The sequence below is a fragment of the Homo sapiens genome, chromosome 3 (genome assembly GCF_000001405.40).
Source record: "Homo sapiens chromosome 3, GRCh38.p14 Primary Assembly".
Classification (NCBI taxonomy): domain Eukaryota; kingdom Metazoa; phylum Chordata; class Mammalia; order Primates; family Hominidae; genus Homo; species Homo sapiens.
Window position 1 is genome coordinate 143,341,459 of NC_000003.12, and position 25,852 is coordinate 143,367,310.

Sequence of the window (25,852 nt, forward strand, 5' to 3'; positions counted from 1 at the left end):
AACGTGTTGGAGAACACCCTGCAATAATCATTATTGGGTATCTGTGAATTTAACACACTTTTCAGAATGGGACAAGTTGCTTGCCACGGTAGGAAAAGCTGTGCCAAATGTTTGAGGAGAAATGTGGAGAGGAATAACATTAGCTTCAGATACCAAATTGCAAGTTAAACTTCCTGAGGATTTCCCGAACCCTGTTCAAATAAATTAAAATTTTGTTTACCAAAATGACTCCGATATGCAAATACAGAACACAGTGTTATATAGGTGCTAGGGACTGAAATTTTTTACAATCATATAATTTATTGTAATACTTAATATTATGATAAGACCGTTAATTTATCATATTTTCCCTGTAGTGTTTACTCACATGGACGGGGATAGATCCAGATTTCATGAAGTCTGAAGGTTACCTAATTTTGGAGGCTATTCTTAATAAAAAGAATGCACACTTTTGAATATCAACACTGGTCCCTTACAAAGGACCCATGCAGATGAAGAGCCCTGAAAGCTGAGTTTCATTGATTCCGGGTGAAACTACCTCTGGATGTGGAGCTGTGTTATGGGAATACCGCATCACAGTCAGGACCCAGCTCTGCTGCCGCCTCAGTAGGAGGCAAAGGTGGAAACGTGGAAACTATGGTTATAAGGTTCATACTTTACTGACCATCATTGAAGCTGCTTGTTGGGTCCCTTAGGAAGGGATCTCTCAATGAAACAAACATTAGAGCTTCTTATTTTTTTTTGAGACAGTGTCTAACTCTGTCACCCAGGCTGGAGTGCAGTGGCACCATCTTGGCTCACTACAACCTCTGCTTCCTGGATTCAGGTGATTCTCCTACCTCAGCCTTCTAAGTAGCTAGGATTACAAGGCATGTGCTACCATACCGAGCTAATTTTTGTATTTTTAGTAGAGACAGGGTTTTGCCATATTGGCCAGGCTGATCTTGAACTGCTGACCTCAAGTGATCCACCCTTATGACCAGCAGACCCTGATCTAAGAAGCTAGATGATTCCTCATGAGGTCACTTATAAACCTTATTGCTGATGTATTTCAGTTTATTTATTGGACTATCTTAGATTTTAAACACCCCACCCAATGCCACCATCTATGTAGCAACTAGAGCAGGACTCACAAATAAAATAACCTTCAAGGCCAAACAGCTTCCAATAGCCAGATTTGTCAAGATTAACTTAAGGTTTTAAAATTAGGCAATGCTTGTAGACACAAACCACTGTGGGCACCATAAAATATCACCTTATTTCAAAAGACTGAGAAAACTGAAAATGACCTGAAAAATTCCTATTGAGTGATCTATTTAATCACTCAGGTGGGGTATGGTGTATCTGGTGCATGTTCAACCTCAGGTGCAGGTGCATGTGCATGCAAATATACACGCGCCACGCTTTTAACCATGCATCTCTCTTTGAAAAGATCATTCCTTCTTTCTTATCTATATGTGAACAAATTGTCAAAACAACCTCAAATGCTAGATGATATAATCCCCAAATGCTAGTAATATAAAAATGACTGTAATAATACAAGTGATATCATTGCTATACATAGCACCACACTTTTACTGTTTCTCAAATCTACAACTATCCTATTTTCTAGTGTTTGTTTATTTCTTTATTCACTGAAATGACTGATATGGGCAGTTTAGACACCCAGAGGAGGAGATAATGGTTTTGATTGTGCTAGATGGTTTGACTCTGCTGAGTGTATCCTATAGACTTAATACCAACAGAGGTCATGGATATTTTTTTCCCACTTCTTTTCCTCTTTATTGTTAAGGAGACTAATTGTGTGTGAGTGTATGACAGGAAATGTTTTGATTTTTTTGTAGTGGCAAGAACAGGAGGGCATTCTTTTAAACATCTTTTCATTTTCTAGGCAAAGCGTGGGAATGGAGGATGAGAGATAGTCAATTTTCAGAATAAGATGTTCTACCAAGATGTAAAGAGGGGAAAAAAAGTAACTTTCAACAGCTAGGCAAGAACTGCCACAAGCAGTAGTCGAAAAAATCAACGGCATGGTTTCCTAATGTGGTCTTGGATTCAGCAAGAAAATACTACAGAGAGAAAACTGCAGGAGTCCCTATTTTGTCCCCTCAAAATGAATTAAATGGTCTAGTGGAAGCTGAAGGACTCTGAAGATGGTGAGTCTACCACTGATTCTTCAGATGGTGTCAAAGATGATTCCTGGTTAGGTATAAAAAGCAGCACTTTTAGTCTGCTATTCATACATTAAAAATGACAGAGAATATACACCTAGAATATTTACCTAGTACTGCTGCCTTGGAAACATGGTTCTAGGTCTCAGGAGTTTCCCAACAAGGAGTCTTTGTGCTCTTGAGACCTCAACAATGTACTGAGCTGACTACCTCAGCAATATTCTATCTAAACTAACACCCAGGTATAGTGATCAATGGTCTAACCAGCTTGCAAGTTATGGCTGAAATAGTGGTTTACCTATCAAATCCATGTAACTCCCAGAATAATTATGATTCTATCTTTTGGGCTGGCAATTATTTAAATAAAATATTATTTACAAAGGAAACAGCAGGGAGAAGAATCATGTAAATTAGATTCATTAAGTGGACAGATTCACTTACAGTTCATTTTGGAATAATTTATGCCAGTTTTCTCTGATGTCATCTGTTGTTCAGGTTAACAATTAGCTCATTATTAACTGACAAAGGTTACTTTGTGTATTGGCAGAGGAAGGCATATTATTTGGGAAAGCTTCTATGACTACCGAGCTTTCATATGGGTGCAAGAGTTTATTTGCAAAAATCCAGCTCTTATTTTCTCAAACAATTCAATATCCTGATGCATATATCTCTGTATTCTCAGGAGGCTTTGCAGAGGAATATATTTCTCTTTGCTAGTGTATAAGCAGTCAAGACTAAAAGAGAATAGGGCAAAATATTCATTCCAACTCTGTATTACTCTCTGCTTTGAACTAAAGATAATATTTTCTAATATATTAAGAGACACCTCTTTTACAGGCCAAGTTACAGATCTCTTAAAAAATCCAATATGATGATGCCCATTTACAAAATTTTATGATGAGAAAATTAACTTTAAAACTCTTTTACAACTCTACCAAATGTAAGAAATATATGTCCCTAAGAAGGTAAGGCATTAGTCCATTTGGACCTTTTGAAATTCTTTGCTGTTGCTTGCAGTCTTTTATCTGTCTCAGCTGTGTGTAGTTTAGTGACTCTGACCTTGAGGAGGTAACAGAAATGGTGCCTACCATTAATGTGGTTTTTCTTTTAAAAAACAAAATGTTTCCTGGCATGTAATTGTTTTTTTCAAAAAAGACTTGACCCTGTGCAGTATTTTACACTTACATCATTTCCCCATTTATAATTCTTTCTTGTTTTGGTGTGTTGGAGGGAAAAAAAGTGTTATGTAGTTCTTTAAAAACTTTCAACCAAATAATAATAAACAATCGTAAGATTCTGAAGTATTTATCATGAATGTAAACTCTGAGAGCAGTAAAACTGGTAAAAGATGATTTCCATAATAACTGGATGAGGGAGGACCCAGGAAAAATCTTGAGCTTTTTGCTTGCATAACAGAATGAAGGAAATGCTGAACATGGATTAGGTTTGGAAGATAACTCCTGAGTTTGGTTTTGGATATAATGACTGTGTCTTTGAGTCATACAAGAGGAAATATCAAATAAGTTCCATCTATATGACTGAAGTATAAATTTGAGTATAAATTCGTTTTTGTTTCCATGTTATTGTAATCCAAGTATACAGATGGAATCACCTAGAAATAGAAGACAAAGAAAAGAAGGGGGCCTTGGATAGAACCTTTATTAATTCCAGCATTGAATGGAAAAGAAAGATGAACCTGAAAATGGCCAGAAAAGTAGGGGGAAATTCAGAGTATTGAGTTAGGGGAGATAAGGGGAAGAGTATTACAAGGAGGAAGCAATCAACAGTATCATATATGTTGCTCAAAAGACACATCAGAGGAGAACTGAAAAATATCCATCTGGTTTAGCAATATGGTGGTCATTGCTGACCTAACAAGCTGCTTTAGTAAAGTTGTTGAGATGGAAACCAGATAAGTGGGTTGAGGAATGAGTAGAAGGAGAGCAAATGGGCTGGGCGCAGTTGAGGATAAAAATGATGAGAGAGGTAAAGCAGGATAGTTGGGTAGTATGGGTCTATCTGAAGTTGTTGATCAATAATAGATAAGGGAACCAGTCTCTGCAGGTGTGTAAATCTCTCCAACAGGGCTCATCTATGCAGATATAGTGTGCCCAAAAGCAACATGTTGCCTTCATCTCTGGTTAGGGTTTTTCCAGATGGGTATAACAAAAAGATGATGGAATCCAGACTGTTTGCAAGGGTGATATGGAAATAGTGGAGAATGGATTCCAATCTGAACAAGTAGGAAGGTGGAGAAAGGACAGACATTAGTGAACTGGAGTCCCTATCAGGTCAAAGAAGGATCTCATTTATTCATATGCCACCCTAATACAGCTTGTCTATAGAAGGAGGAAAATAAATGTCCTCTTTAAAGCTACTGAATGCAAAGATTTTTTTTTTAATTAAGCTAAAGGGAAAAGAGACCTAGGTCCAGTTTTAACAATTCCCTCTTCCCTAGACTTCGTAGGAGGGCCCAAGCACAGACAAACCCAGCCTTATATATATATTCTTACCTGAATATAGATTTCTCCCAATATGCCAGTTGAAACTCTCTCAGCATAAAAAACCTATGGAAAAAATACTTTTGCCTTTTCACTTGGCTAAAAGAAGATTATTCTATAAAAAGAACTGTAGTCCAGATGATTAAACAATGGAGGGAGAGGATGAAAACCAAAACTTTACTCAAATGGAAACCTCCTTAAATTTTCCCATTATTCTTAATGAAATAAAGGCTGAGCTAACTGCTAGAGAAAACTGATTCTTGATGTTGCAGAAAATAAGCTTAAAAATAATCATTCTAAAGTCTTGTTTCTTTTTCTGTAGTATGCGTATTTTCTGTTCTATTTTAATATTATTTTTATGAAACCTTTGGTTAGGCTGGGTGCAGTGGCTCATGCCTGTAATCCCAGCACTTTGGGAGGCTGAGTCGGGGGGGATCACTTGAGGTCAGGAGTTCGAGACCAGCTTGGCCAACATGGTGAAACCCCATCTCTACTCAAAATACAAAAAATTAGCTAGCTGGGCGTGGTGGTGGGCACCTGTAATCCCAGCTACTCGGGAGGGTGAGGCACAAAAATCATTTGAACCTGGGAGGCGGAGGTTGCCGTGAGCCGAGATAGTGCCATTGCACTCCAGCCTGGGCAACAAGAGTGAAACTCCGTCTCAAAAAAACAAAAACCAAAAGTTTGGTTAAAATGAAAAGGGAAAGAAATAAAATACTAACTATATAGAAAATGAGAGAAGAAATAGTAAGAACTTTGTATTCAAACTCTACAAAATTTTTCAGATGACTCTTGTCAATTTTATCAAATAATAAATATGCTCAAGAACAAGTCTAACTTTTCTCTATTTTTCAGACAGAAAAAGAGAAGCAGATGAAAGGAAATAGAATTTTCTATTTTCTCCTCACCATGTAAGCCTCAAATAAAAAGCATCTAACAATTCAACGATCTTAACTTGGACCTGGTAGGAGACATACACTGAAGCAGTGGCTACAACTCCAAAATATACCAATCTGTGAGGCTACGAGATGACAGGTCAAATTTTTCTCAGAAGAAACATCCTAGCTATATTTCATCATTGAATGTAGCCATGTATTGGCCCAGTAATCGTCACAAGCATCACAACCAATTACTTAGGGCTTTAATAAAGAAGGGACCTTATGTAGAGTTTAATCAGATGGCAGTTGTGGGAAAGAAGCAGAAATAGTTTTGTTTGTTTGCATTAACAAATGGATGATGAGAAAGATAAAAGGGGAAATCAAGAAGATAACCCAAAGGAAACAGATAAATGGAGGAATAAAAATGAAATTCTATCTTCCCCCAAACAGAATCTGGCATAAGAAAATGCAGGCATTTTTGGCTAAACCAGAAATTAGATGGGAACTACATCTCTTTAAGGTCCAGAGTTATAAAGCACAGGGTAAGGAAAGGGCACCCGGATAGGGGAATCCTGTGCCCTGGGTTTTAGTCCTAGCTTTGCTGATCCTCAGTTTCCTTACCTGTAAGGAGAGAGAAATGCTTCTTGCCCTTTGCTATAACAAAAAGACCACCAATATTGTCCCCTGCCCCCACTCATCCACAGTTGTTCTGATAGACTTGGGACAGCTATATTTTCAACCCTCTCTTCCAAATACTTGAGATGTATTTTATAGATCTGTGAGTGAGCAGCTATTTCTAATTCTGTTTTGAAAGGATTGTTCCAAAACCAAGATGATACGGGGGATGCCATTAGAAAAATATATTTGTAAGGTGACAATCAATTTAAATTATCTCATAAAAAGATGAGTTCTGGCATATCATAAGTGAGGTAAGATTGCTTCCTTGTTTCTATCAGAAATAGGGTAAAACCAGCTCAGTCGAAAGCTGGATAAGAAGTTAAGCAGTAATTTTTTTTTTTTTTTTTAGAGGGAATCTTACTCTGTCGCCAGGCTGGAGTGCAGTGGTACGATCTCCGCTCACTGCAACCTCCACCTCCCAGGTTCAAGCTGTTCTCCTGCTTCAGCCTCCTGAGTAGCTGGGACTACAGGTCCAGCTAATTTTTGTATTTTTAGTAGAGACAGGGTTTCACCATGTTGCCAGGATGGTCTTGATCTCGACCTTGTGATCCACCCGCCTTGGCCTCCCAAAGTGCTGGGATTACAGGCGTGAGCCACTGCGCCCGGCCCGAAGTTAAGCAGCTATTGATGGCAGTCTGTTGGACTTTATTCCATTTATTTCTTTCATTTTCATGTAAGCTTTCTGTGATTGAATCACAGGAAGTTAATATGCCAATTATTTACTTCCTGGGAGTCTAAGAAAGCACCTTTATTTACTATATGCCATCAAACAGAGCTATTACATTATGTTGAATTTGTAAGGATAAAAACCATGACAAGTGCACCATATTTCTAGAAAATAGGTTCCAAGTGTAAAACAGAGGGCTAGGCATCTCTTTTTTTCATATAAAACCATGAGTGAATGTATACTCCTTTTTTAAGAAAGTATCTTTTGTTTGGCCAATAAAAAGCCAAATTCTTACAGAATACTTTGTTATAAGCACTTCCATTGTGCAATATAGTTTTGGTTGGAAAAGCTAAAAAATGAACTCTACTTCCCAAGCCTATTAAAAAACATGGAGAATACCATATGAGAATCATGGGTTGTCAAGGTCTTAGGAGTTCATGAAATTGTGTCTAGAACGCTTTGGGTACGGGGGAGTTGCTGTTGTGGTTAAAAAACAAGGAGGGGCATTTCCTTCACTTTACAAATGAAACTGGAGCTTAGAGAGACTGGTTCAAGCTCATGCAGCCTGCAAAGCCTGGGCTCAAAATCAGAACTTCTGACTCCTAATCTTGCTGCTTTGTGACTGCTGGGGTTCAACTGCATGTTGAGATTCCCAAGAATCCCCTGATCTTGGGGCAGGAGGAAGCCAGCTGCCCCTGGTCTCTGCTGACTACAGCCATGGGGACCTATTCGTTCCTCAGTCTCCAACTCTCTGCCCCCAGCTACTGGCAGACGGGAGTAACACGCATGTAGCAGTCCCATCTTTGCCTGTTTATTCTTTGTGAGGGACACTTAGCATTTTCAGTCCATCACTGAGCTGGAACAAAGTAATTTTGCCTGAAGAGCCTGTAGCTGGGCTTAAAGGTGCTTACCTGAAAGGAGAGGGATGGTGATAATCTTTTTGCTCCTAAAGAGGTGGGTCCTGCCAGGTCAGCCCTGGAAGCTCTTTTCTTTGGACAGAACCAGGACTAGCCTCATCCCACAGAACTAGGGAAAAGCTTCAGCATGTGGTTGTAAAGGAGGGTGGGGCCCATCAACTCACATCCTTTAATAATAATAACAAGAGCAGCCCTTTATCAAGGACCTAATTTTTCTAGGCCCTATGCTATGTATGGTAAGTATAATAGTGTGAATCTCACAAACATCCTGCAAGATAGGTATTATCATTGTCACTGTCCCCATTTTACAGATTATGAAATCAAGGTTCAGAGAGTTCAAGTAATTTTCCCAGTGTCACACAGCTAGTAGGTGACAAAGATCTGAACCTAGCTATTTGACTCATGCTCTGTGCTGTTCCAGGCGATTGAGTCTGAACTTGATTGGTAGGATGTGGTATATCAATGTTGTATTCATAACATCAGTTAACCTGGCGGTTAACTTAAGTGAAGTCTACAGATAGAAGACAAGTTGATGAGACTGAATTAGCACAAAATACTAAAATAAGTATTCTGCCTATTTTTGAGTAGGATATTAATTGTAGAGCATCCCCCTATGAGAGAGCCACTCAGAGAAAAACAAGTTCACTCAGAGGTTTAGAGAACTCCATCCGCGAGGCAAGGCTGGGCAAGTGGCTTGTTTACCTCGAAGAACTGGCTCAGTAGGTAAATGGAGCAGGTTCATATAAATAGGATTCTACCTGGAGACAGGGAACCAACCACACATATTGTCTCCCCACAAGAGTAGTCTTTCTGCCTTCCTTGTTTCTTTGACTGGCATAAGCAGACTTCTAGTCATGAGGGCTGGAACCCCACAGTCACCTGGGGCTCCTACTTCCTCACAACTGGCACCTGCCTGGCCCTTTCTCTCTGCAGTCCTGGTACCCCCAATAATGCGGCATCAGATTCTATGGATTTGAGGCCAGAGTTTTCTGGCATCTATACTTTTCCTTTCTATTCCCATTGCAACTACCATAATTGAGGCCCCCGTGACTTCTCCCTAATCACTGCTGTTAGCTCTTTCTAAAACAAGACTATGTCACTCTTATGTCTACAAATCATCTGATTCCTCATTATTTACTGAGTCAAATCCAGACACCTTCACCTGATACTCAAAATCTTTTCAGATTTCCGTGAACACATCTTGTTAGTCTCTCCTCCCTGGCCAACCTTATATGTGCCGAGCTGCAATCCTCACTTAACCCCAAGCACACACAATAATTTTCCACATTTGCACCTTTACTTGTGACCTTTGCTTTGTCTGGAAAAAGAAAACACGTCTGTTGTGTTTGTTTGGTATTTTCTAGTGTTCAAAGTGGTTTCATTCACCTTTTTCCATTTGAAATTTACAGTTACTTTGTGGGGCAAATATGATTATACTCATCTTACAGATTAGAAAATAGTGGCTCAGGGCAGGCCTGGAACTAGAGTTCCATAGCTGAGGGGCTGAGGGATGACTAGCAGCCAGATCTTCAAACTCATTGCTCTGTCCACAGCTCCGTGTTGCTTCTCTCTCCCCGTAATCTGGCCTTTACTCCAGCTCCCTCCAGTTGCTATTAGTCAAATTCCATCTTTTTCTCAAAGTTCAGCTCGAATCTACCAACAACTGTTAACTTTTCCAAAATAAACCCAGAATTGAGGGCTCTCTCTCCTTTGTGTTCTCACAGCTCCCTGCTCAACTTGCTGGGTACTTAAAGCAATTAGGGGAAAGGCCTGAGGGTTCCTACACAAGAATTTTATACCAGCAATGATCAAGGTTTTAAAACCTTTTTGATTATGATCCCATTAAGGCATACATGTTATATCACAACCCAGGGTACATGCACACACCCCTGAAACAAGTTTTATGAAACAAAATTTACTTCTAATTTCTCAATGCACTGTGATATTTTCTCTAGTCTACTATTTATTAAGAAGTGCTGGTTAGGAACCCACTAAATTGCTTGTGAGAACCACTAATGAGTTATGATCAGCAGTTTGAAAAACCCTGATTTAAATATTATTATGTCCCTTCTAAATGGCCTAGACAACATTTTCAAAGGTTTGCAAAAGACTGAGCTAGCAAGGAAGATAGGTACGTTCATCAGGGATTTAATCTGTAGTTCCCAACAGGAACACAAACAGTTCTTACAAAGGCTAGGCCGAGAAGGAAGGGTCTCAGCTGGAGAGCATCAACTTCTGTTTGTTGGAAGGTCAAGGAGAGGGATTCTTGGTGAATAGTTGATGGTGGGGGGGAGTACCCATTCCACAGTGGGATATCTTCCAAAGAGTGGGATTTGTAGAAGCCAAAGATTGAGGTGGGGAAGATTTCTCAATAAGGCATATCTCTGGACTGAGAAGAGACTTATGTACTCATCATAAACTTGAATATAGCAGGAAATCAGCTAGAATTTAAAAATAATAAAAATGTAATAAAATTCTTTGTTTATATCTGCAAAATGAGTCTGAAGGCCTTCAGGTCTATAAAGCTGTCACTGAATTTAGTATCATTTTAACTTTATGAAGCACTTGATGTTTGCAAAGTGCCTGTACAATTACCAATTACCATAATGTTCATCTTCTGAATATTTCAGATCAGAGAAGGCCTGAGGACTTTAGACTAAGAAAAGGGGGAAAAAAAGGAAAAAAAGTTGGCCAATCCAGTTAAATACCAGGCTTCTGAGCTTGTACTGCTAGAGTTGTTTACCATGTGGGGCACCTGCCTGGGGTACTCTGGGGACTTCTCTTCCTTCAGCACCCAGAGCCTGCAGTGCACACAGTCAGCCTTGGTCAGCCACCCCTCATGACTGACACCCACTCGCTGCTCTTGGGCATTCCAGGCATAATTCTGTGTCTACATGAACCAGTAGAAGGAACGGCAAAGGGCTTGGCACCTGTAACCCAAGGGCTAGTCCATAGCGAGGGATGTGGGAAGAAGTGTTTGCAGTTGCTGGGAAGGGGCAGTGAGGAAATAAAGCTGCTACAGTCTTTCCTGTTTGAGGTATTAAACACATGTTAAAGGATTAAGGAAAGATTTGCTTAGCAGCCTGCATGAGCTAGAAATCACTTCTGGCCATGTTTATAGGCGACAGGTCAGTGAAACCTAATACACTGGTAGATTTCAAGGAATTCCAAGGAAATGGCTTCAAGGGATGTCAAAGGCAATGGTTTCAGGATGTGTCTGTTTCCTTTGGAAAAAGGTTAGCTCTCTGATGCTTCTTCCCCTACATTTAAAAGGCCACTGAAATACTAGAAGACAAGCTTAGAGACTGATCTGGCTTTTTAGCTAAAAAACATTCTAGTAGACTCTGGCCCTAACAATTACACCACTGGATAATTTTCAGTAGTGGAAATTTAAGAATCAATATCTTAATGAAATGATACTTTTCTATATTAACTCATTTATATTGGGAACACACATTGAATGCTCTAAAATAGTTTTCAAAGTAGAATGAAACAATTTGTCTACATTTTTATCCACACAGAAAACTGGTGGGTATTTTGCAGGGCAGCTGTCCTGGATCATGGATTATTTTCAATTTATTCTTCTCCCTGTTAGATCAGCTTCCATACAGCCACCAGTTCTCTGCATTATAACAAACAGGACTCTGTGGCTCTGTGCTTAAAGTGCTGCATTGGTTTCCTGCTGTCAATAAATAAAATCCATTTTCTTAACCGGGACACATGCGGTCCCTACACAATCTGTGCACATGATAATTCCCTGGTTTCACTTCCCACTAGTTGCCCTGAACTTTTCACCATTTTCTGAACACTCTGCACCCTGTTCAGGCCTGAGCTGTTTCCTTGCCACAAAGTCCTTCACACTCTCAACCCTGCTCCTTACAGATTCCTACTCTTTTATCACCGACTTCCAAAGTCACTTCAGTGTGGCTTCCTGGCTTCTCCAAAGCTGTTTAGTTGGCTATACCCCTCTCTGGCTTCCATGGCACTTGCTGTGGTCTGAATGTTTGTGTCTCTCCAAATTCACACGTTGAAGCCTGACTCCCAAGGTGATCACATTAAGAGGTGGAGCTTTTGGGAGGTGATTAGGTAATGCGAGTTCTGCCCTCATGAATGGGATTAGTGCCCTTATCAAAGAGGCCTAAGAGAGCTTGTTTACTTTCTTCCACCACATGAGGATAGAGCAAGAAAGTGAATTCTGTGATCAGGAAACGGGTCCTCACCAGACATGGACATTGCTGGGATCTTCATCCTGGACTTCCCAGCTTCCAGAACTGTGATAAATAAAATTCTATTGTTTAGAAGCTACTAGTCTAATGTATTTTGTTATAGCAGCCTGAACAAACTAAAAAAACACTTTTTTGCTCAGGACTTTGTGATAGCTCTCAGCATTGGTGGCTGGTGCCACCAATCTACCTCATTAGGATGCTGGCATCTTAAGGGCAATCACCATTTCTTTCTTTATCTCTGTGGCTTAGGAGAAGGCAGAAGACTTTTTTCCCCTTAGGGAAGAAGAATTAAAATTCAATTTAGTTAAAATAATTGAATAAAATATAATAGAATAATTATTTTTCTGGGGGAAGAAATATGAAAACCAAACCCAAGCCTCACAGCAATAAGATCTGTGACAGAAAGGAAACTTTAAAGGCTACTTTAGCCTGTACCACATCACTCTACCTTTAGCCATCCAAGTAACCAAAAAAGTATAAAATATTAACAAGAGAGAATTCTGATTACACTAGGCACTGGGAATAAGGGTTTCACGCTTGACTTCAAAGGCTTATTCATTGTCCCTCCAGACCACCTGTTTTCTCTCTCCTGTAATTCTGTACTTTTCAGGTGGGTTATTCAGGCTCTCTCGCATCTATTCATGCCACACTCATCACAGGACCTTCCCCATGTTACTCCCTATTCTTGGAAAGCTCTTCCTCCCTTCTCATTATTTAATTTCATGTTACGAAATCGCTGTTCCTCCATGGACACTTTCTCACATGACTGGAAGAATAGCATTTATTTCTTCAACAGGCTTTTCCTCTATTAACCACCAGCATAATAATCTCTTTGCCTGCTCTTTCTCATGAGTTGGTTTGACATACATTGAGAATCATCACCATCTACCTTGTGAAGTGAACCTTAATTAGGGAAGAGACATGTCTGCCCAACACTCTGTGTGATGTCTATCATAGCTTCACATGCAGACAAATGCTGGATAACTGCAGTCTGCGAGCTAGACCCAGGACTGTGTCTCACTGGCAGGTGGTAATATGTGAAGCTGGCAGCCATGGCCCATGCTGATAATGTGTCTCTGGTAGCTCATGAGCTTGTTGGCAGCCTGCAAATATCTTGGCTCCTACAATTGAAAAGGAGTGACCAAGTAATGATTAAAGAACATTTAAACATTATACTCTTTTTTCATGGGAAACAAATATTAAAACTAAATTCAATACTGGCAGCATTAAGGTAATACATATGTTTTTGTAAGTCCTATCATCTTTTCTTTCTCTTTCTCTTTTTTTCCTAATAAAATGATTCAGTACTGACCTAGAAATCTTCAGTATAACATCACACTGCTAATAACAAAACACCATGGCTTCACCTGAAAGGTGCAATTGAAAGATTTCCTTTATCACAGTAAGGTACAAGAGTAATAATTATCATCAAAGGCTTGTATTGCTTTCATTGTGGAAGAGAAAAATTGCTGCACTTCTCTATCAAGTCAAAATTGCTATCTGTAGTATAATTTCCAGAAAAATAACTGAGATGATGGACTATAAGTTAGAAAAGTCATAAGTGAAACAACTGCATGTGCAGAACAGAGGACACAAAAGAACAGCTTAACACCCAGCTCCATCCATTTACTCAAAATCAAAGAAGAAGAATTATGTCTGATTTATAGCCCAAGTGAAACCTTTCCTTTATGGAAACTAAAGACTTTGAAATGGTATTAAAATACAGCTGTTGCAACTAAAAATTATTACAAGTATATAAAATAATGGAAATTTTAGTCACTCAGATAATAAATGACAATATTATACACATTACATGATGCCTGTCTTTAAGACATGTGGCTATCAGTAGGTATAAATAATAATAATACATGTAATGAGCACTGTTCTAAGTGTTTTGTGTTAATTCATTTAATTATCAAAACAAAGCTATGAGGTAGGGACTTCCATTATCCCCATTTTTCAGATGAGCGATGGAGACACAGAATGGTTAAATAACTTTCCTAAAATTACATAACTAGTAAGTAGATAGGCTATAATAGCAAATCAATAGCTTCTGGCCACAGACCAAGACTTGCTTCCGTTTGATAAAAACCAACAGTGGAATGTCTGTGTGTTTCTTTATACCATAGATGTGTTCCTGAAAAGCTCTCCATAAATCAGAAGTTTAAAAACAGAACTGTATTGGAATGACAGCTCTGTGGGAATTTCTTTACAGGTGCATCGCAAGTGCCCAGGATGGTGCCTGGCATGTGGTAGACTTGATAAACGTGATAAGCGAGTGAATAAATTGATGAGGAAAGTCTAATGTGGTGCTTTGCACTGAGAAAATAATAAATGTATTGAATTTGATTTAAAGGAATTTATTTTATCCACTCTACAAGGGGAGAAGTGACCTTCTGATTTCTTATTTGTGTAAATCTAGATCTTCATATCATTCGTTTAAAGTGAAGTTGAAATATGAAAGCATTTTCATTTAATAGAAATATTATTAAAACTTTTCCAGGGAAAAAAGCAAAACAAAGCAGAGATACCAAAGCTTATGTAGAATCCCAGGATCATTGTGCAAAAATCAGTTACCATCTTGGGATCCACAATATTTTATAATCATAGTGGGGAATCCATTGTGCCTAGGTAACAATTCATAAAGTCATACGTGTAGTCACTTGTCAGGTCTCCAGAAGAGTTTTATACCAACTACAGAATATTGCAGTGTATTTAGGCCATAGGGTCTTGAGAAAATTGCACTATTTAACTGTTTTAAATGTGTTGGTTCTGAGAGGCCAGTGAATCAGTTGCCATCAGTAGGAAGCTGTTTTAATAACTAGCCAACTTTACTGATGGATTCAGCCAAAACAGAGGATAGTATGTATCATTCCTATTATGTGGAAGAAGAAATTATGGAAGATCCAAGTTGTTACCTGAACAAAAGACTGCACATGTTTCTAGATACTGTTAAAATTCCCCTGTGTTGATTCCTACCCAAAAGTCACAAGAACACAGGAGTCCAGGAAGAAGCTGATGTTTTCTCCCAGGATTTTTTAAGAGATAGGATCTCACTTTGTTGCCCAAGCTGGAAGGCAGTGGCAAAATCATAGCTCATTGCAGCCTTGAACTCCTGGGCTCAAGTGATCCTCCTGCCTCAGCCTTCCTAGTTGGTAGGACTACAGGTGCATGCTACCATGCTCAGTTAACTTTTTTTGTAGAGGTGGGGTCTTGCTATGTTGCCCAGGGTGGTCTCAAACTCTTGGGCTCAACTGATACTCCCGCTTCCACCCCCTAAGGTGCTGGGATTACAGGGTTAAGCCACTGAACCCAGCCTCTTTCAGGAAGCTTTAATTCCACTTCACTTAGGTGCTAAGTCAAAGACTTTCTATGGGATTTGTCTACAGCAGCACCTGTAAGGATATGGATGACCAAAAGCCAACCTAAATACCCCAAAATAATAATAGTATTCTAGGTGTTATTAACCAGGGGATGGGAGTGATGGCTGCATTGCAGCCCAATGCAAGCTGGGCTCCTCCCTACAGCCAGCTTCCCAGGAGAAGCAGTTATAATGCCATGTGCATATTTATGTGCGGATGCCATTAGAGAATGTGTTTAGGGAGAGCCTTTAGGAAGCTGATTGCTTATGTTTACTTCAAATATTTTGAAATTTTGTTGCTTTCTGAAACTACTTGTGGAGTTATCTTTACATTTTGCAAGTGAGAGCTACCAATGATTTTAGTTTGTGGCTCTCCTGAAGAGTTCATCCCCCCATGAAATTCTGATGATGCCAATGTCTTCCTTTCCTATGCTAGGGACCACCTGTGATTTCAAAGGACTTCGCGACCATGAGGTACAAAGCAAGACTTTGTGAGGGTCAACCATGCCTACCCTCAGTACCTAGTATATTGCCTCCACATAGTGGGTAATCAATAAAGTATCCATTGAACAAAAGATTACACATCCTTTGCTATCTCTCCTGCTTGCTACTGAAAGTAAAACATACCTCTCCTTTAGACAGGTGAGGCTTTTGCTGAACCACCAAAGAAGCTATCAGACTAAAACAACCAATTATACACTAGAAACACTTATGAAAATGGCATCACACTTATGTTAAAGCTACCAGAACTCACCAGATGGGCCACCTGAACTGGGGTCCTTGGATTGCTTAGGTGACACAGCCTGTTCTACTGTTGATTACGAATGCTGGCTCCAAGTCCATCAGTAACCTTGGATGTGCCTTTTTCCTCTCTTGGGCTCAGTTGCCTCATTTATAAAACTGGGATCACAGAACTAACACTCTTTGTTCCTGTGAGAGTTTTTTGTGAAGTAAACTCAAGTCAATCACAAGGCCACAGCGAACTACCCCAATAAATGATTCATGGGTGTTTCAGCCAGTCAGGATAGGGAAAAACCGCAGTACAGGATCATCATTTAAAATGGAAATTGCTGTTCACAATATTCATACCTATGACTTAAAATAAGCATGACTGTGTGGGATATAAAAAAATTCTGTCAAGTTTTAGGAGGGGAAGGTTTTTCTTTCCTTTTTTTTTTTTTTAGTTAAGACTAAAATGCCATTTCATTTAAATCTATTAAATACGTGGTTTCCAAGTATCATTTTGAATGCCCCTGATATTTATGTTTACATTTCCTGAAGTGGATTCCCAGTCTGCCTTAGCCTGTACAAGATGGGGTCTGGTACCTGCCACTTTCCTTGCCAGACTCTTAAGAATGGGAAATGCAAGCATTTTCAGCATCCACACATCCTGCTGTGGGCTTTTCATTTTGTTGGCAATACCTCAGTGCACTCTTCATTCCAACCAGTTATGGGAAGGAAATCTCCATCCACGTGGCTTTATGTAATTCTGTTACTGTGTCAACTTGCCAATCCATTGTTCTTTGCACTTTCTTTACACTTATAAAATGTTGGCAACCATATAATAAGTCCTTATTTTCAGTTGATGTTGGCATACAGGAAGTGCTAAAAATGATGTTAGGCTGCCCTTTTTATTTTGGAAAGGTCATTCTTATCCTGTGTCATTCACATTTATGGGGCTAATTTATACACACGTTTAAGGGGAGAGATGGTAAATGAGAGAATGGAAAGAGACTCTAGAAAGGAGACAGTCAAGCAACATCATTAGTCACCTATGAATAAGGCAACATGAGATTCTCATACCAGCTGTAACACTGCAAATCCATGCAAATAATTTTATCTGATGTCTTAAAATATGAATAAGGGGGCATCAATTTCTTCTTCTTACTTCCTCATTATGAGAGATTGCTAGTGAGGATGATAGGTGGCTTTACAATTTTGAGTTTGTTACTAATAAAATCAACATGATTGGTGAGATAAGACATATGTATTCAATGTCACTCAGACAGAGAATGGCTTCTAAGCCAGAGTCAGGCTTGAATGTGCCAGATCGTTGTACTAATAAAACCTAACAAAGGATGGACCAACCACAGGAAGGAGGTCAGCTCAAGCAATAGGGATTTAAGTCTGCTGTGAGTGGCTGTTCCTGTCTAGGGAGTGAGACACTCAGGCTGGCTGTCTACACAGGGTAGCCTGGATGAAAACATTAATATTATCCACTCTGTCTTGCTCTGCTTTCAGACTCACTTAGCAGCCTTCTGATAATTAATTGGATTTTCCTGCTACATCAATGCCTGAAATGAAGGTGCCCTGGATAGAAAATATTGCTTGCTTGCTTAATTGATTCATTCATTCCTTCAACAAATATTTATTGAGTGTCCACTCCCTGCCAGGCATTGTTCTATGCCCTGAGGACATACCAGGGAATGAAAACAGACCCAATTTCTGTCTATGGAAGGCACATATCCTGGTTGGAGGGAACTATTAAAACAAAGTCCATTCTGTGTCGGGTGGTGGTTAAGCGTTATGGTGAAAAAAATAAAGCAGGAAGGAGTGAGAGAGTTAGCTCCTTTTAGACATTTAGATATAGCGCCAGGGAGGTCTCACTGATGAGTTGAATGAAAGAGGTAAAGGAAGGAAGCAAGCAAATGCCTGAGAGAAGAGCCAGTGCAAGGGCCTGGGTGCAGAAGGGTGCTTGGGGTGCCTGAGGAAGGACAGGGTAGCTGGAGCAGAGTGAGCCGAGGGGAAAGAGTAGGATAGGAGGGGCTCTACGGACCAGACTGTGACTTGAGCCTTCTTATGGCTGAAGAGTATCTCCCCCTGCCCATACCTCCCACTCCACAATGGGGATATGGCAATTTAGGAATTTGGTGTCTGGTTTGTACTTCTGCCTCCTTTGAGCTTGGCTACAGTGAGTCCACCTCCTATTAGACTGAACCACTCCTGGTGTCTCTGAATATTTAACTTTCTGCCCCTAAAGAGTTGAGGATCTGATTCAGAAGTCGGGGATTCCTTCATGGTGGTGCTTTCTGTGTGACCAACAAAAACCTGTAACCTTGTTATCACACCGATATAGTACCAATAAATGTTCAAGATGTGAGCTCTGGACTGTATCATGTAAGGAGTCCTAATTATTCATTGTTTGAATGGTGACTTTGTGAACATACTGAGACATGAGGATTTACAGGTAGAGTAAGAGATATCATGGACATAGGAATGTTAATAATCAAGTTTGTTTAGGTATCTTGATGGACTTTAGGGTCAGACTAATCTGGGCTTGAATCATGAAATTGACACTTACTAGCTATGGAAACAAAGTTATTTAAGTTATCTGGGAATTTGTTTCCTCCACATCAAAGAGGGTGGTTGTAAGAATTAAATAAAACAAAAAGAGTAGTTAAATGAAGAGAATTAAATGAAATAACATTCCTCCCTGCTCAGTAACATTAGTTCCATTTCTCATCTCTGCATTTCTCAATTTCTTCTTTGTACTCCATAATTTGGAATTGCTGCCCACGTTGAATCATAATGAACCTTAATTAATCATCAGTTTTGGCATCATAGGCTTCTTTCCAACAGGGGAGCCGCTGTTGCAGCAGAGGCCAACCCAATCAGTAGTACACTTGTGTTGTTATATCTCTAGACCCTCCCAGCCTCCTACAGAGCTGGGGAGGTGGAATGAAGTAATAAATGTAAAGCACTGAACACAGTGCTTGGCATTATTCATCCTCATTGAATGTTAAGTTTTATAATTTTTATTCTGTAGTTTTTGGAAAACTTTTAGGGAAAGGTATGTATGTACTACTTATGCTATGAAAAAGAAAAAACAAAACTATGTGAGTGACTGGTTTTATTGATAACAATGGTAAATTAAGAGGGGTTTTCTATCTTTGAGTCTGAATATTAGGCATTAATTGAATATAAATTCAGTGATGTGATTATTAGTTTTATGGGTCAATCTGGCTAGACTACTCAGTTATTCATTTAAACCTTAACTTAGGTGTCATTGTTGACATCTAAGGTATTTTGTAGATGTGGTTAATATCTGCGATTGACACTAAGCAAAGGAGTTTATCCTCAATACGGTGTGTGGGCCTCATGCAATCAGTTGCATGGACTTAACAGCAAAACTTAGGCTTTTCTGAGGAAGAAAGAATTCTGCCTAAGGACTGCAGTATTAGCTCTTGCCTGAATTTCCAGACAGAGAGCCTGCTCTGCAAATTTTGGACTTGCCAGCCCCCACAACTGCATAAACCAATTCCTTGAAATAAATCTATATGTATATGATATGTAAAGTACTTCTGCTGATTCTATTTATTTGGAGAACCCTGACTGATATAGGTGTGTATGAAGTTATATATTCTTCTTTTTCTTTTGTCTAATTATTTGTGATACCTCATTTTCATGATGCAATTTTACTGAAATGAAACTAACAGCTCCAAACTACATAGCCAATTTCTTTCAGCCTTGTGACAATTTCTTTTTGGTCCAGGCCAGCAACCTGATCTCAGGATGAGGGGCTAATCTCTACACTGGTGGTGGCTGGCATAGCCTAACTTATGAAGTTCACAGGACACATTGCCTGGGTTCTGGGTGGACAATAGAATGAACATAAATGCCAAATGGATAATTTGCTCTAAAATAACAGATATATTAAGAGGCCACATAGTTGAAACTGTTTGCTTGCTACTCTCTAGGTATAAATTCAGAGCATAGCTAAGATACAAAAACTTCATTGTCTAAGTCAATATATATTTGTGTAGTGACGGCAGCATAGCAATTTCTAGAATGAATGTGCAGGAGGATAAATTACCATGAGAAGAGATATGACTGAGAGTGTAAATCTGCTTTTATTTTTGCTAGTCTATCTATAATCATATGGAAATAAACCCCTGATGAAAGTGAGACAAAAACTATGACATCATCTGAATTTAGTGTCACTGCCTTAAGCTAAAAATTTTGATGGACTTCCACTTTTATTTTCTTGTCTTCAAGTTTTTTTTCACTTTATTCCTTTTCTTCATTGTAAAGCTTTCCTCATAGCATTGTCAGAATTTGAACAAAAACATCTTTTTATCTCATTTCTGATTTACCGTGTTCTTTCTGTACATCTCATTGTGTTTACTCTTTAGTCAAATTTTTATAATTTTGAACAAACTGAGTTATCAGATACTTATAAGCAATGGCAGGGGCAAATTCTGCTTCCAAAGAGAGATCAACCAGGAGCAAAAACCAGCAATAACTTTCTAAGAACGAGCTTCCCTTAGAGAGACCAGAAAGTCTTCATGTAGTTACTGAGATACCAGAACCTTTAAGAAATAATTAATGGCCAAGATGGACTTCTCTCAAGATGGTGGTAACCTCCATTTGTCCATAAAACTGAAGACTGAGCAAGAAAGGATATCTGGCTATAGATAACAGAGCTATGAAAAAACAAAACTCTAACCTCAAAAACCCTCTATCTTCCACATCACCATTTCATAATTCTTGGAATGCTCTACTTTTGCAAAATTGCTTTTTAATTGTCACATTGTTTTACTTTTGCTTATCTCTGCAATCTTCAATTGGTTTCTCTTCACTTCTCTCTTAATTTTTGCTTTCTATTTTCCAGTCATTCCTCTAATTTGCTTTCCTTTCCTTCCTGCATTTCTCTTGCCTCCCCTCCCCTGTCCATTTTTACCTCTTTTTCTTCACCTATTCTTTGAATTTCCTTTCCCTATTCTTAATTCTTCCTCCTCTCCCACTGATCTGTTGTGGCTTTAATCATTTTTGCTTAGGCACTGAAAATCATCCACTGACTGACACTTTCTCACTGAAAGGAGAGGGATTTGTGACTGGAAAACTAGCTACAAAGACCCAACACATTCAATTTACAGTGCCGTTCTTTCCTTTCTTCCTTGGAGCTTTTGCCTGGGATTAGAGATGGATGGCTTACTGCAGCTCACAATGGCAAAACACTTCAGACCTGACTTAGCCCCACGAATCACATGGCAAGGTATATCTGAGCTACTATGTTTACAGTGATTGCTAGATTTTTAAAATTGCCCTTCACTGGAAAAAGCTTATTCAAGTCTGCCTGGAAAACAAAGCAGTGCTATTTTATGATGAACTCTGATGAACTGGACTCATCTCCTTGGCCCATTTATTTTTGTTCCCTGTCCCCACCCCTTCATTTTTTACAGCATGAAACAAAAACACACAAATGGGTTCCTGGGAGAAGGGTGCAGGAGCTTTGGCTGGGTTACCCTGGCCAGAGGCTGCTGAGACTGTTCATACAATGCCCTCAATCAAGCAGGCCTATTTGACCAGAAGTAAGAGCTTTACAAAGGGAGAACAGCAAAACAGCTTCTTCAGGACTATATGATTTTATCAACTGGCATTATTGTCAGGAAAACCTTAGATAAATTTGACTCTGAGAAGTTTCACTTTAGCTCTCTGAAACACTTAAGTATGGACTACCCTGCTTTTTATTTTATGAAATCATTCCTTTTTATAAGTTTGGCTGTGAATTCACTTTACCTTTTGGTGTTTCTTGAAGAGCAGGAGTGCACACTTCAATGATTAAGAGCTTAAAGTAATTCTCTGCCTGCAGCAGGATCTGTGAGATCGTTATTATCAAAGGATACTTGTGGTCAAAGCTATACCACATTCTGAAGAGCCGAGCACTCTCTGCTTTCGTCATGTTTTTATCCAAGTTATTTGCTTCCTGGGGAGAAACAATAGAAAAAGGCATTGGGTAAATAGTCAAAAAGATTTTAATATAAAAATACATGTCAAACCAAGTTAAATTTAACTACATTTAAAAAAAACCTTTCTAAGTATAGGCATTTTCATCTAAATGGTGAAGCAGTTTCCAGGCAAATTAGCTCATAAATCTTGCTATGTGGATGAGACCCTTTTGGAGTATTTCAACATTTACTTTTCTTAATAATCCCAATTTTATTAAATAGCTAAGAAATGCTATTTTGACATCAATAAAAATGACATTTCTGCCATAGTGCTGTTGTGGGAATTTTACAGTTTATTTCTGTCAAATTTGGATGATATTTATTTATGGATTACCAAAAGGTCAAGGCTAAAGTGAGGATAATAGTCTAATAAGTGTTATGCTATATTTTATTCATTTTGTTTGATAGATTATTACCAAAGGCTATTGGTTGATTTTTGATATATTTCTGCCTAGATTATGAAGAGTTTTGAAATAGATATTCCTGATAAGAAGATTGCAACAATTGAATGTGCTTGTCTACCTCTTTTTTTCTTTCCCACAAGGGCCATAAAGGGTGAGAGGATGATAAGGAATTAAAGACAAAAGAGGAAGAGAAAGTGTTTGATGGGTGTTTTTGTGAGAGAAGAGGATGAAATGTGAAAAAAAAAAAGGAAAGAAAGTGAATTTTTTTTTGTGAGCTTTAGAGACAGATAATAAAATGTAAGGAGGGTATCCAGTGGCGTTTTTACTGTATTCCATTTTGTGTGTTAAGGGAATTTCAATCAGTTGTAATTATCCTTATCATTAAAAGCATTTATATCTCTTAATGTGGGCTTTGTTGCTATGTCTGGACCCCCAGTTTTCATGCCCAAGTTGTGTCATGAGTTGCAGTCTGGTAGTAATATGAATAGTCTTCTGAGGATGTAATGACCCACGGAAGACAATGAAAGTCTACTGGATGCTCCACAGCCAGCCCTTAGATGAGCTCATATTGATTTGCTTTTATTTTTTTTGTCCTTTTCTAGCCAGTTCCATCATTGGTTAATGATAAATAGCTGGACACAAAAGGCTGTGTTCTACCCATGAAACGTATGTGTACCAGTAGATGCTTCCGTTCTATCCCCCGCAAATGAAATGGAACTACAAGAAAGCAAAGTGTGCTTCACTTTTAGTCAGCCATTTATCCTTTGTTTAAAATGGCTGAAGCAGAGACTCACAATGAAATTAAAACCCAAACTTTTGTCTTTTTCATTGATTGTCTTAAGATCTCTGATTTTTCAAGTCTTGCATTTTTCCAAACAGTGTCCCCTAGAGAATCACTGTTCATTTGATGTTGATGGAAATTCTGTGCTAATCATTCAGGAAAGGATGGGGTCTACAGTGTTAAATAGGTTTCTTAAATGGAGGACTTCTCATTCATTGCAGCACTATTTACAATAGCAAAGACACAGAATTAACCTAAATGCCCATCAATGGTAGACAGGATAAAGAAAATGTGGTACATATATACCCTGGAATAATATGCACTCATAAAAAGGAATGAGATTATGTCTTTTGCAGGAACATGGATGGAGCTGGAGGCTATTATCCTTATTAAACTAATGCAGGAAGAGAAAACCAAATACCACATGTTCTTACTTATAAGTGGAAGCTAAATGATGAGAACACATGGACACAAAGATGGAAACAATATACACTGGGGCCTACCTGAGGGTGGAAGGAGGGAGAGGCCAGAAAAAATAACTATTGGTACTAGACTTAGTATCTGGGAGATGAAACAATCTATATCACAAACCCCTGTGACACAAGTTTACCTATATAACAAACCTGCACATGTATACTTGAACCTAAAATAAAAGTTAAAAAAGAAAGGAAAATGTAGAACTTCTCAGTCTTTCATTTATAAATGAGCATTGCAAATCTTCAACAGAAAGTGTGTCTCAAAGTTACTTGGCCATGGAATTCATTCCCATTCCCAGTCCCTACTGTGGGACACTGATGATCTTTTCCTGGACATTAGAGTTCCACAGGTCTCTGTTTTCTGATAGGGCCGGAGTGCCATGCCTTGTTATCTATAGTCAGAATTTATGCATATTTCCTCAAGAAAGGAAACCAGGGTGTCTGGTTCAATTTCTATCCTTCCCTATACCTTTCTCAAAGCATTTCTACCCCAGCAAAGGTATCAGATTTGCAAAATGACTGTTGCACACAGTGTTTTCTTCATCATCCTCAAACATCTGCAAACTGTTTCTGAGCCACTGTTTGTCAACAGCATATTGGGGTTCATCTGGCAAAGCAAAACTGCTCATGTTGAGCTAAACTAGTTATGAAAAGCTTGGGGCCAAGGGTTGGAACTTTCCTTTTTTCCCACCCTTTCCTTTAAGAATAAGGATACGTGGATTTTTATCCATCAACAATCATAGGTAATTTTTGATAGTGGATAATATCTACTGATGACTAGAAAGTCATTTAAAAAGCTGATAAAAAGGAATGAGAGCAAATTCCCAATTTTTGTTTGTTTTTAATGTAAGGGTGGGCAGTGTTGTGGTGAGCTATACTGGCAATCAGGGGCCGGGATTCTGGCAGCCAGTCTGCAGCACTGCAGCTGAATGATGTTCCCAATAATGATGGTCCCAAGCTATTGAATGCCCATTAACTCCCAGGCAGAATGCTAGTCACATTATCCAGCCATTAATTTTTTCAGTCATTATTTTTTCAATTCTCACTCTATCAAGGTAGGTTGCATTGTACCTATTTTGCACATAGGGATTTTAGAGAGTCCTAGAGAAGGAAAGAAGTGAGTTCAAAGTCACACCACTAGAAGGTAACAATTGGAATTTTAGTCTAGGACTGCCAGACTCCAAAGAGAATGTTTTTCTGCAAGTATCTAATTCAGCCTTTAATTCAAAAGCACAGACATTCTATTAATAGACTACGTAACTTCATTGGGCTGCAGTTTCCTTGTCTGTAAAATGAATTGAGGAAATTGGACTGGCTGGTCTCTTAGGTCCTAATCATATGGAAAAGACTTTTTATTAATGACAACAGTAATAGCTATACTTGAACACTTGCCATATGCCAGACACTATTCTAAGTACTTTTCATATATTAACACTTCAGATTCTTATAATTATTTGATGAAGTGTGGTCTATTATTATTCCTATTTTACAGATGAGGAAACTGATGCACTGGGATACATATAGGTTTTCAAGAATACTGAGGCCCCTAAGCAGGCAAGATTCCTCTTATCTAGATGGGGCCCCAGGATACAAGTGGAGAGCAAACTAGTGCAAAAGGGGAAGTTAGAGCAATGGAATGCTCCTCCTGCAGGCTGAGATACAGCAGGTATACATACCCCAAAACATAATGAAAATTTAGAGCTCCCCTTAGCTGGGTGAACTGCCAATGGCTTTGAAAATGTCCCCATAGAAACTTTAGTGTTTTAGGAATTTCTTTAGACTTCTAGATACTGGTTTCAAGCGTTTCCCAAGGTCTTAGAAATCCTCTCTTTTTCTCCTTTTTATTTCCCAAGGGGAATATATCAGAACTCATATGCACTTCTGAAAGAGCTTATACTCTATTCTTGGCAAACCTTCCAGGGATATTTATGGTCAGCTGATGGGAGCAACATACATTAGGTAGTATTTTGGAAAAATATTAACACATGCAATCTCTTTCTAAAAAACTTCATTTCATGTGGGTGACTGGAGATGTTATTCATTTCAATACTTTGTGAGGAATAA

The 25,852-nt window shown here is 38.8% G+C and overlaps 1 protein-coding gene and 1 long non-coding RNA gene across 5 annotated transcripts in view; one reads left to right on the forward strand and one right to left on the reverse strand.

Annotated features, from left to right (window-relative positions):
* The window catches only part of SLC9A9 (solute carrier family 9 member A9), a 583,247-nt gene that overhangs the window by 76,237 nt on the left and 481,158 nt on the right, over positions 1–25,852 (reverse strand). For 3 of the 4 annotated variants that reach the window (XM_017006203.2, NM_173653.4, XM_011512703.4), the window contains one exon: positions 22,026–22,105. In XM_017006203.2, coding sequence (XP_016861692.1) covers positions 22,026–22,105 — 80 coding nt within the window. Of the gene's footprint in view, positions 1–21,918; positions 22,106–25,852 lie in introns of all 4 variants that reach the window. The other variant, XM_017006202.3, reaches the window with a different exon arrangement.
* On the forward strand, positions 788–5,613 carry SLC9A9-AS1 (SLC9A9 antisense RNA 1). The gene is made up of 4 exons (NR_048544.1): positions 788–826; positions 1,892–2,156; positions 3,009–3,136; positions 5,528–5,613. It is a non-coding gene; the product is annotated as an SLC9A9 antisense RNA 1 (long non-coding RNA).